Genomic DNA, 12,269 nt, shown 5'->3' on the forward strand with positions numbered 1-12,269 from the left:
ACAGCAAATGGGATAGAATAATAGGTGAATCTGAGCAGCGGATATATGGCTATTCCTTGCACTATTTTTGCTTTTGCGACTTTATGTAAGTCTGATATCACTTCCAGATAAAAAGTCTAAAAAGTAGAAGCCAAGTGCTCCAGGTTGGACGATAAATTATATGGTGAGCCAGCACAGGAGCCTCTCCAGCAACCTCAGGTGACAAAATCCAGGTGACAAACGCTGCTGAAGACAAAATTCAAGGGGGCAAGAACCACAGCCAAGGCTGCAGACAAGCTCTGAAATCATTTGATGTCAAACCGAGTGACACTGACAGTAGAAACCACTGGGTGAAGAACAGACGTTACATGTTACGAACTTTGATCACATACAAACAATAATAATACTAGAAAGCGTGGAGGGGTTGGGAGTAAAAATATAACTTCTAAACCTGGAACATCTGGTTTACAAAAGCACAAGTCCCTTTGTTCTCATGCTCTTTCACGGTAGCTTTTAGCATGTCTTCCAGTGTCTGTGTCCCATGTAGAGGTGAAGCTTTTATCTCAAGTGTTTCCTTCAGCTTCACTTTGGTTCATTCTTGTGAAATCCAAATGCAGGGAATGCTTTTTCTGATAAACTGTGCCTGTGACTAACATTTCTACTTCTGTTCCTCTTTCCAGTTCTACTAGACCCATGGGGAGAGTTGTCCTTTGTGAGATTGAACAAAGTTGACTATCTGGAAGGAGACCTTGGAGAATGCTTTTGACTTCCTCTTGGTCTCCTGTGTTACTGTTATTAAATAGGAAGCCAGGCCTTTCTTACAAAACAAAACCATGATTCTTATTTTTAAAGGGGAGGAAGAGGCTTAGCACCCCATGCCATCTGTCTGAGATCTGAGGGCCATGACACTGCTGAACGTCCCTCGGTCTCCAGGGGCTTTCTTTCCCACACAACAATGGAGGGGATCCCTGCCGTGTGGTCACCGGAGTTCTTGCTCCGATGTGGAGCAGTCCAGCCCTGCCCCTGCCTAATCAGCAGAATAACAGACAGGCATGGCTTTCTGCATCCTGAGTTAATGCATGTGGGCAGTAGGACCAACTCACATTTCACCTCCAGGGGAAATGAGAGGTGTGTTTGTTCCAAACACTGGGATTCCAAACACAGACCTGTGAATGGCTTTCATTGTTATGAAGTCTTCACCTTTCATGAAAACGACTTCATAAGGGCTGCTCCCCATTCTTCAAAGCACCCACCCACGGGCTGCATGCATGTTGCTTATAGTTTTTTAAGCTGACTTTATTTTTAGAACAGTTTTGATTGATAGGAATATTGACAAGACGTCACAGTGTCCCTGTATCGCCCTCACACAGCTTCCCTTATTATTAAAATTTTACATTAGTGCTGTACATCTGCCACCACTGATGAAACAGTATTGAAACATGAGTATTGACTGAAGTCCATGTTCTCCATGTTGAATTCAGATTTCCCTAATTTCTCCCTAATGTCCTTGCCGTGTCCCAGAAAGGCCCCGTCCAGGACACCACATGGCATTTGGTTGGCCTGGCTCCTTAGGCGCCTCTCAACTGTGACAGTTTCTCCAACTTTCCTTGTTTTTGATGGCCTTGACAGTTTTTGGGAGTACGAGTCAGACATTCTGCAGGATGCCCTGCTCTTGGGATGTGCTCTTTTTCTCATGAGTGACTGGTGTTATGCGCTGGGGGAAGAAAGCAGAGAGGCAGCGCACCACCGGCATACACATCCTACACAGGGGGTGCGCTCTCGACACGGCTGTCCTTGCTGACGTTGACCTTGGCCCCTGGCTGAGGTCATGCCGTCAGGCATCTCTGCTGTGAAATCACTGTGGGGTTCTAACTAGGGAAAAGGAGTCAGGCTGCAGGGCGCAGAGGAAGTAAAAAGAAGCAGCAGATGAGACAAGTCAACCCTTCTTCATGGTGCAGGACACACAGCCCTCCTGCACAGATAACTCAGTCTTCCTGTGCTCAGCTGTCACCAGACCCTCGGCTGATAGAAAAATGCAAGGTAGCTCCCTGCAACCCTGGTGTTATCAGTACTGCACGCAGCCCTCTGCAGCCCAAGAACCACCCTGTAAAACCTCTAGCAAGCCTTTGAATCCTGGCAGTCAGCTCCTCTTCTGCTGAGTCTGCCCATTTCCTCCTCGCAACGTGTTTTCCTATTTTCTCTAATAAGTCTGCCCTTCATTATCTACAACTGTCTTGGGAGATTCTTTTATGCTCCCCCTACCTGCTACCGCCACCAGCCCAGATAGTCATCACCCCCCTCGACAGTTACCACCTGCCTTCCATACCACACTCTTGGGAAGGAAGTGATGGTGCAGAGCCCACACCTAAGGAGTGGGGGAGTCACGGTCCCCTCCTTGAGGGCAGGGTATCTGCATAAATTATTTGGAATCCTTTTGCAATGGTGATTTGTCTCTTCTTTCCCACTTAGTTTATTCAGTCACTGATTTCTGTCAGCACTGACTCATGGACACCTATGTCATTATGGGTCATGACTCGACCCTACTTTATTTTGTTTCTCAAGTTGTTCTGGCTTTGGCCGTTGGGAGCTCTTCCAGTTGGCTCCTGTGTCCCTTTAATGTAGGATTTGGAGATTTTTTTTTAGTACTTCCTTTATGTAGATTTATCTTGTATATTTCTTGCCCCAGTCCTAGAATCAGCCATTTCTCTGAGGAGCCCTGTTTCGTTTTATGGAGAACAGTATTAGAAGCCAAGATCTGGGCACTAGCTGTGTTTATAGCTACTGAAACATAATTGCTTCTAGGTTGTCTCATGACAGAGGAGAGATATATGTATACTAATTAATGCACACACATATACCTACAAGTATTTCTAGATGTAATCATTTGTATCTATATTATGCTAAACATGAGTTTATACCAATATCTTCCATTCTAATTCACTAACATATGAATCATTCTAGTCTCATCCCCTGGTTTTATCTGTAAATTCTAACAGTGAGAAGCCTGACTCCCACTACTTATGATCCATCTCCTTAATCATTCAGTCCCAGCACACATGAATTGTGGGATCAGATTGTGAATTGATGCTCCTGTGGGAAGCACCTTAATCAGCTAGAGTGCAGTGCTTATGCTCAGTTCCCTTTTGCCCTTGGTCTTACACACTCCACTCATTTACACGGTCACTTAGGGCAGCACCTGCTCTCCCATCCTTTCTTCAGTGAGGTCATTTTACATATTTGGAGCAGGTAGGGACCAGCGTGGATGGCCCTCTGGACTGATGTGGGGGCCCCTGCTTTGGAGGGGCTGCTGGCCAGTGGCAGGGGTTGGATTGGAGCCAGGAGGGTCTCACCACCTTTCCTCTCCCGGGACTGACACCAACCCCTGTCCTTCAACACAACACAACACAACAGAAAGGGGTTTGAGCCCCTGGCTATGTTAGCTGCTGTGGTGCCTCAGGCCAGCACTATTCCATCCCCAGGACCACCTGCTCAGGGGTGCCCACACCCCAACCACCAAGGGCTCCAAAAGGAAGGTGTAAGTTCCATGGCCTGTGCAGGGAGGGTGTGAGCCGTCCCAGCACAGGCACTCATTTGGAACCGAACAGAGGGCTGGGGACCGAACAGAGGCATTCTGACCCCACAGCAGTGGGGAGCCATGGTGGGTCCTTGAGCAGAAGGGTATGCTCTGGGATGTGTTTGAACTTGATGCTGACAGCAGGTATGGGGTAGACGGAGGGAAGATGGAGACCAGGGGTTGCCAGGGCAATGCCCAACATGAGGAGGCCCCCAGGGTGCAGGGGAGGAACAAGGGCAGGGCAGGAGGTGGGGGTCTTGGCCAGGAACATGCTGTAGGGCTAGGAACCACCCAGAAGAGGGTAAGTCTCATGGCTAGGACTCCCTCCTGGAGCAGAGGACTCCAGGGTCCCCTGCTCTGTGCCCTCAGGAGGGGAGCAGATCCTCCAAAGAGCTGGCCCAGCAGGAGGTGGAATAAATACCCATGATGTGCCTGGGCCTGCAGAATGGGAAAGGTCTTCCTGGTAATGGCAGGTGGCCCAGGCCTGTGAGCGGCACTTTCAAACATCAGACTTCACAGGGGCGCCCTGCCTCTCCCAGAGCCGGGCTACCTTGATGGCTGCTGGCAAGCAAGTCCTCACCATGGTTCCTGTGGGGCAGTCAGGATTCTTAAGGAGGTGGGTTCCAGGCAGGGCAGCAGGTACCTCGGCCAGCCTTACTGAGGCCCCTGGAGGCCCAGCAAGGGGTGACCAGTGGGCACAGTGAAAAGCTGGAAAAGAAAGAATGAAAGAAAGAGAGAAAGGAGAGAAAGACAGAACAAGAAGAGAAAGAACAAGAAGGAAAGAGAGAAAGAAGAAGGAAAAGAAGGAAGAAAGTTTTAAAAAGTTAAATATATGAAAGGAGCATCCATCCAGAAGTCCAACAGCAGTCCCTCCTGGAATCCATTGGCTTCCCTCAAGAGTTTTTGGTCCTTCTCTTTCAGGGTTGCCAGATAAAATACAGGGTGCCCAGTTAATCTGAATTTCAGATAAACAGTGAATAATTTTTTTATCATAAGTATATCCCAAAGAAAGTATGGAACATATTTAAGCTAGAAAATTATTCATTGTTTACCTGAGATTCAAAATTAACTAGCTGTTTTATATACATATATATGTATTTCAGACAGAGTCTCTCTCTTGTCACCCAGGATGGAGTGTAGCGGCACGATCTCGACTCACTGCAACCTCTGCCTCCCGGGTTCAAGCAATTCTCTTGCCTCAGCCTCCCGAGTAGCTGGGACTACAGGCATCCGCCACCACGCCCAACTAATTTTTGTATTTTTGGTAGAGACGGGGTTTTGCCATGTTGGCCAGGCTGGTCTCCAACTCCTGACCTCTGGTGATCTGCCCACCTCAATCTCCTAAAGTGCTAGGGTTACAGGCGTGCGCCACCTCACCTGGCCGGCGTTTTATATTTTTATTTGTTAAATCTGGCAACCTTATTCTCTTGTTAATATTCTTCAGTGCTTGCAGCTTTGTTTTCCTTCCTTGCCCCCTCTTCTAGGGCAGACGGATCCCGTTGTAGGAAAAGCATTCCACTGTCTCCATGGCTGCAGATTGTGGTCTCCGCCAGTGGTGAGGAACAGATGGGTTTCCACCTGTATCGTAGATGGCATGTCTGTGTCCTCCCCAAATTTCTCTGTTGAGGCCCTCACCCCCAATGTGATGGTATTTGGAGATGGGCCTTTTGTAGGTAATTAGGGTTAGATGAGGTCATCAGAGTGGGGCCCTCATGATGGGTTTAGTTAGACAAGAGCTCTCTCTCTCTCTCTCTCTCTCTCACCTACCCCACCTTTTCTCTTCTGACCATGTGAGGACACAGAGAGAAGGCAGCTCTTTGCAAACCAGGATGACAGCCCTCACCAGGAACCAATCCAGCTGCCACCTTCATCTTAGACTCCCAAACCTCCAGAACTATGAGAAATAAGTGGTATTTTGTTTTGACCGATACAGCCTGAAAACACATTTTCTCCTCACCACACATGAGTGATATCTGTGTGACTGAAGGTATCCAGGACTCATCAAAAAAAAAGAGAAATGTCCCCTGCACAAGGCCCAGCCATGCCCAGGAGAAGCAGCAGCTTGGCACAGAAGAGCGCACCCAGGCTGGGCACTGCACTCATTCTTCCTGTGACCCTGGGCAAGTCACTGAATGGGGCTTCAGCTGCCCCATTTGTTTATTTCATTTTTTTTTTAAGGCTAGTCAAAATTGCTTCATTTGTAATGGGGCTTAATAGTGTTTGCCCTGCCTCCTGTTGAGGGATCCAGAGAAAGGACGTCAAAGTACTTTGTAATCTGTAAGGTTTATCTGACATGAGAGGAAATATACATATGCTCCAGGATATCTGTGTGCAGACACACACACACACACACACACACACACACCATCACATATCAGGCCTGGCTGTGTCTTCTTACAAAGGCGCTGCTAGGCACCACCTCCAGTTCTAGAACCAGACCAGCCAGTTCACCCTCCAGGCATTTTACCCTTGACTTCATAAAACCTTTCTACCTAATCCACTAGTGACAGGCTCATCCCAGACCTAATTTTAAAGATGTCTAGGAGCAAGATTGCAGAGACTTACCCTCAGCCCCTCGAGCTGCGGTGGAAATCCTTGACCTTGGCCTACACAAAAACAGATGCAGATCATTCTCACATTTGCTGGCCGGCTGGGCTGAGTGGGCCTGGGGAATGAGGGCTACAGGGGCGGTCCTGGGCAGTCTTGCTGAGGCTTGCCAGCATCTCTCCGCCTCCTTAACTTCCCATGGTCCATGAGCATGGACTTCAGGAATTCCTGATGGGGGGTGAAGAGCATGCAGCAGGGTGTCCCAATCCCTGATCTATGGAAAGAAAAATTGAAGCAAAACCAAGAACTTAGTTTAAGATGTCCCATACACCAGCCTCTAGCCCTTGTTTTTGGAACAGACCTCTCCCCTGGAAACCACTTTCCTCCCAGCATTAAATTCTCCAAAGTGCTTTGCTTTTTCGCAAAGTTCCCAAGGATCCCTGGAGAAAGGAAGATAGAAATGCCTCACTCTCTAAACAGATAGATGCAGCTAGTTAAAAGAAACAGCCAGCTTCTCTTGCTGTTTCTAACATATTTGAAAGAAGCTTGGGTTCAGAAATCTATCCAGAAAGCTCCGTGCTATGCAGACAGAACAAGAACCTTCCCCTGTGGGAGCCTTGGGCTGGTCATCACTGGTTCCAGAGCCAGTTTTTCTAAACACCCATTGGTGGCTGTGTTCAGAGCGAGTTAGTCACTCACACCATCCTGCCCTGCCCTGAGTTAAACCATATATGATCTCCTCCAGGAAGCCTCCATGACTACTGTAGCCCAGGGACATCCCCTTCTCTGAAATGTACAGCAGTTGAAACACTTCACTAGACACCTTAGCCCCCATGTTGTGCTATTTGGGATTGTTCCCGGAGAGACAGTAGAGCATTTGACTGAATTCGCAAAAGAGAAAAAACAAATTCATTTTACAAAACCTAAACTCTCAGACTGAAGGAATTTCGCACCACAGCCACGATAATTCATGAACCCACATCTGCTACCCACTGTGGTGTCTGAGAGGTGAAAGAGGGCAATGTCTCCAGGAGGGCGTGCACACACACTTGTTAACACGTGCACAAGTGTGTGTATTCACAGGGACCCTGATGTACACTCATAGCCACACACAAGCTAAGGTCTGAGAACTGTGTCTCCTGGAGGAGGCTGGGATGCCGGACACCTGAGGAAGCAGCCCCGAGCTCCACTTTCACCAGCACCCCTAGAGGGTCAGTGCCAAACGGACCCCATTATTTCATGCCAATCCATTCTAGGGGGTCACCTCCCCCGAAACACCTCTCTGAAACATTAGTGGATGCCAAAGGGGAAATGAGACTTGCTTTGCACAATCTTCTTCTCCAGAGGACTGCATCCCTCATTTCCTAATGGACATAAATAAGAAAATGGGTTTTGCTTTGCAGAATGTTCTTCTCTATAGGAACATAGCTCAGATTTCTAAACAGTGTCCTAATAGAAGTTACAGCCTCTGTAGCCAACCACACCAATCTGGTGTGGTTGACCCTCCTGACTTGCTGACATTGGTAGACTCCTGTGTGGCTTATTTCTTCATGCAACCATGAACATCCTTTCTCCACCCACATCAGAAGGATCTTCTAAATTCATCCCTCTCTCTCAGCTGCTTCCAGCTCCCCAAAAGGCTTCCCAGGGCAATTAGAATGCAATCCAACTCTTCCCAAAACCCCGACATGGGAGCAGCCTGGGTCCTGTGGCCTCTCCCACTGGCCTCTTAGCCTCAATGTTCAGCCACACTGGCCTTGCCCGCCCACACTGTTTGTCACTGCTCCAGGGCCTTTGCACCTGCTATCCCTTTTCCCAGCATCCTCTTTCCCTGTCCCTTTTCAGAGCAGCACACAGAAGGACACAAGGACTGAGCCTCATCCAGGAATCCAGGGCTGCAGGTCTGAGCAGAGGGTCCCTGGGGGCAAATAAAAAGCACTGGGGATTCTGAAAGTGGCAGTAGCAGCTTTGCCCTTTTCAGAATGGCATCTACCATTTAGATTCTCTACAGTTTATCCAGCCCAGCCCTCACTTTACAGAAGGGAGGCCAAGCTGGGGTCACACCAACTATAAGGCTCCACAACCTGGGCCACCCCCTAGTCTGCAGCTGGGCCATTCCAAGGCTTCTTCAGGGCTGTCAGGAGGTGGTGGGGTTCCCTTGGTTGGGAGGACAGAGACCCCAGTGCTGGCTACCAGCAGGAGGGGAGCTAACAGACTTGGAGTCCCCTCTCATGGAGCCACAACAAACCAAAGGGTTAGGGATTTCAAGGGAACAGGGGTCCCTCTGGGGAAAAAAGCCAGGGTTCCCCGGAGCTACTGTTATTGCCCTCCTGGGAGAGGGCAAGTACTTACTTGGCTAATGTGACCTCCCTTGCGCTCTGGTCTTGGAAACAGCTGCCACCTTTCCGGACATGTCCAGGAAGCTGCCCAGGCCCATGCATGCCCTCCCAGCCCCTAGTCTCCTTTGATCAACACTCTGACCTCCCAGCCCAGGGGGGCCCGGGGCAGGAGAACCAGAACAGTGCCCGGCCCACAGTCCCAACTAAGGAAATACATCCTGATGGTCACCAGCCCCTTGGACATCCAGGAAATCCACAGAGGCCGGGATGGCAGCAAGGGAGCCAAGTGCCATGTGCTCTGCAAGCCTTCTTTCTGCAGAGCCTACTGTGCATCAGCTGAGGGTCCAGAGAACCTGGCTGGGGTGGCAATGGCCCCTTTCCAGATGCAGTTCTTGGGCCCCCAGAAGCCAGCCAAGAGCCGTTCTCATTTGTGTGCATGGTGGGCACATGGCTGCCTGTGTTTGTGTCTCTGTGTTTAAACCAGGAGGAGTTAATGATTAAGAGGCGCCTTGAGTTCGGTCCCACTCAAAATAAACTAGGACCTGTCAGTAAACATGAGGGGAACCTCCCAGTTGTCAGTCATCTCCCAGTATTCCCAGAATGATCTGGGGTAGACATCTGGCATGACTGGATGGTAACTTGGGGGCTGCACCTGTAGTGTCAGAGAGAGACGTTCTTGATAGCTGGAGACAGCCCTGGCGATGTGACATAGGTAAAGGCCTTGGGCACTGGCCAGTGGCTCTCCACCCCCTGTAGAAGTAAGTGTCCCCATGGGCTGCAGATGGGCTGCCTAGGGTGGAGGTGGTTTGCTGTTGGGACCAGGAGCCAGAAGAAGGGGCCAGGGAGGAAGAACCCTGGAGCTGTCTGGGGACTTGTGCTGGAGGCTGTGCCCACTTGGGCAGATGGTCAAGGTGCAGAGGACAGCCCAGTTTAGCCCAGCCACAGACAAAGGTGCTGAGACTCTGGGGCTCTGTGCCTGCCTGGCACAAGTTATGGAGCCAGGATTGAGTGGGCCCCTGTGCTCTGGGCTGCCCAAGGATGAGACTGGGGCATGCTGGGATCAAGATCTGACTCCTGACAACCTGGGCTTTGTGTAGAGCAGATAGGGGAGTACCCCACTACCTGTCTTTCCATGCCGCCACAGTGCAGTGCCCAGAGTCTGCAACCCTCACTCCGGGCATGGGCCGAGAAAAAATGGACCCTTTAGCTGGTGCACTAGGCAACCTTCAGGCTGTCTGGGACCAGCCCTGACAGCCTCTGCTCTGGGATCAGCTGCCGCAGCAGCCTGCACATGGCATGGGGCAGCAGTGGTGGCAACCCTGGACACTGGCCCCCATAGCATGGAACCCAGGACCAGACACTGCCACGGTCAGCCCGCAGGTGCGGGAGGGCAGGAGGCGAGCAGTCACAACCCTGCGGCTGCACAGTGCCCCTGCAAACCTGTGCTCTGGGCCAGGGCCAAGAGAAATTGGACCCTAGCATGGGAGAGCGGTACACTTGGCGACCCTCCGGCCCTCTGGAAGTAACCCTGCCAGCCACTGCCGTGGGCTCAGCCACAGCTGCCACCTGGAAATGGCAGTAGTCAGTATCAGTGGCAACCCCTGATCCTGCCCTCCCCCACCAGCAGCAGGGAACCCAGGACCAGTTGTCGCCATGGGGTAGGTTAGTGAGGGATTTAGGGTCATTTGATTATGAGATGAAATGATCACATGGGGATGAAGTAATTCTTTTTTTTTTTTTTTTTTTTTTTTTTGAGACGGAGTCTCGCTCTGTCGCCCAGGCCGGACTGCGGACTGCAGTGGCGCAATCTCGGCTCACTGCAAGCTCCGCTTCCCGGGTTCACGCCATTCTCCTGCCTCAGCCTCTCGAGTAGCTGGGACTACAGGCGCCCGCCACCGCGCCTGGCTAATTTTTTGTATTTTTAGTAGAGACGGGGTTTCACCTTGTTAACCAGGATGGTCTCGATCTCCTGACCTCGTGATCCACCCGCCTCGGCCTCCCAAAGTGCTGGGATTACAGGCGTGAGCCACCGCGCCCGGCCTGAAGTAATTCTTTAACATAACATCGGTATGCAGAAGTACAGTATACAGTGATAAGAATTTACAATATAGTGTGTGCGTCAGCAATTTCTAACAGAGCCTTAAAACATAAACACAGCCTATCCATAAACTATGATTAGCAAGATATTAATCAGCAGTAACAGTTGCAGCAAAAGCTGGTTACACACAATCCATAGAAACAGGATGTGAGGCTAGACAGCCTGTTAGACCAGAAATTCTCAGAAGGGAGTATGCCTTAACCCTAAAGAGACCTAGAAGAGCCGTGGCAAGATGAGGGCATTTATAGCCCTAACTTATCTGTATGGGCAAGCACCCCCCATGCGTCCGTTTATAGGCTCTCCACAAGGGTCGCATTCCATTCCCAGAGCTATGAACATCTGCTTTTCTGGGCTAGGAATCTTGGTGATGTGAAACCTCCCTGACTGCACGACCATTCACAGGCTCTCTGCAGGGGGAAGCACATCACGTGCTGTTGGCTCATTCTGGCAGCCCAACCTGGCATTGTCTTTACACAATCCTGCATGCTACTTTGTATTTACAATAATCAGGAGCATTTCATCTTTTATTCCGTAGCAATAGTTTCAGGGGGTCTCCCCACAGTAGTGAGGGGCTCAGTCCAAGTCCAAGGTCCTTCAGGGAAGCCAATGTTGTTACTCAGTCCAAGCAGGGGAGCTGCTGGTGCAAGTCTTGGAGTTCAAATGCCAGAGAACCTGGAGTTCTGATGTCCAAGTGCAGAAAGAGGGTTGCCCTGCTCCAGGGGAGGAAGAGGATTCACCTTTGCTCTATCTGGGCCCTAAGCAAATTAGACAATGCTAACCAACACTAGGTGAGGATGGATCGTTCTTACCCAGTCCACTGACTCAAATGCCAGTCCCTTCCAGAAACACCCTCACAGAAACACCAGAACTACCATGTTACCAGCTATCGGGGCTTCCTTTCATCCAATCACATTGACACATAAAATTAATCATCCAATTGTCCAAAGGCTTTTGCCACCTGGCTGAAACCCGACTCTCCAATGCATGTGCCATGTTCTCAAAATTCCTCTCCATCTGCTTTGACCCCTGAACACTTTCTTGAACACATTCCTTAATGCACACTGTGTTTATTTTTCTGCCTAGAACATTCTTCTCTAACATCTCACCATCAACATTCTACCTAGTACTCAATATCAGTATAGATGCTTCCCCAACCCCATGAATTTTCCCAGTTGAGTGACTTTGGGAAAATGCTGTGACTTCTCTGAGCTTAAGCTCCATCGCTTGTCACATAAAAATGGTGAGACTGATACAACAATGTTCCAGTGAGGAGAAAAAACTTTTTTTTTTTTTTGAGACACAGTCTTGCTCTGTCGCCAGGCTGGAGTGTAGTGGCATGATCGCGGCTCATGGCAACCTCTGCCTCTTGGGTTCAAGCAATTCTTCTGCCTCAGCCTCCCGAGTAGCTGGGACTACAGGCTCACACCGCCATGCCTGACTTTTTTTTTTTTTTTTTTTTTTACTAGCGATGGGGTTTGACCATATTGCACAGGCTGGTCTGGAACTCCTGAGCTCAGGCAATTCACCGCACTCAGCCTCCCAAAGTGCTAGGATTACAGGTGTGAGCCACCACGCCTGGTCGAGGAGAAAATTTTATATATTGAGTGCCCAGTGCAGTGCCTTGCACATATTAGGTGACAAATTTTTAACTGACCCTTTTCATGAATCTTCTAATTCCTTCCAATCAGAATGAGCCCATGTTCTCTCTATATGCAGGTTATTATCAATACAA

General features: G+C 49.7%; 1 long non-coding RNA gene across 2 annotated transcripts, besides 1 other annotated feature; it reads right to left on the reverse strand.

Moving 5' to 3' along the window:
* Window positions 1-2,324: 2,324 nt before the first annotated feature.
* On the reverse strand, window positions 2,325-5,033 carry LOC105370111 (uncharacterized). 2 transcript variants are annotated; one of them, XR_941742.2, is made up of 3 exons: window positions 4,931-5,033; window positions 4,134-4,261; window positions 2,325-2,695 (listed from the first exon to the last, which is right to left on the reverse strand). It is a non-coding gene; the product is annotated as an uncharacterized LOC105370111 (long non-coding RNA). The 2 variants fall into 2 exon arrangements; XR_941743.2 differs by having other exon boundaries at window positions 3,975-4,261.
* Window positions 6,197-6,366: an enhancer, noted in NCBI's record as "experimental_32663 CRE fragment used in MPRA reporter constructs". NCBI's record gives its function as "activates a minimal promoter by MPRAs in K562 erythroleukemia cells, with activity observed for the non-introgressed 13:23553786 variant allele {active_cell/tissue: K562}" and the evidence as "EXISTENCE:reporter gene assay evidence [ECO:0000049][PMID:34662402]".

The sequence above is a fragment of the Homo sapiens genome, chromosome 13 (genome assembly GCF_000001405.40).
Source record: "Homo sapiens chromosome 13, GRCh38.p14 Primary Assembly".
Lineage (NCBI taxonomy): Eukaryota > Metazoa > Chordata > Mammalia > Primates > Hominidae > Homo > Homo sapiens.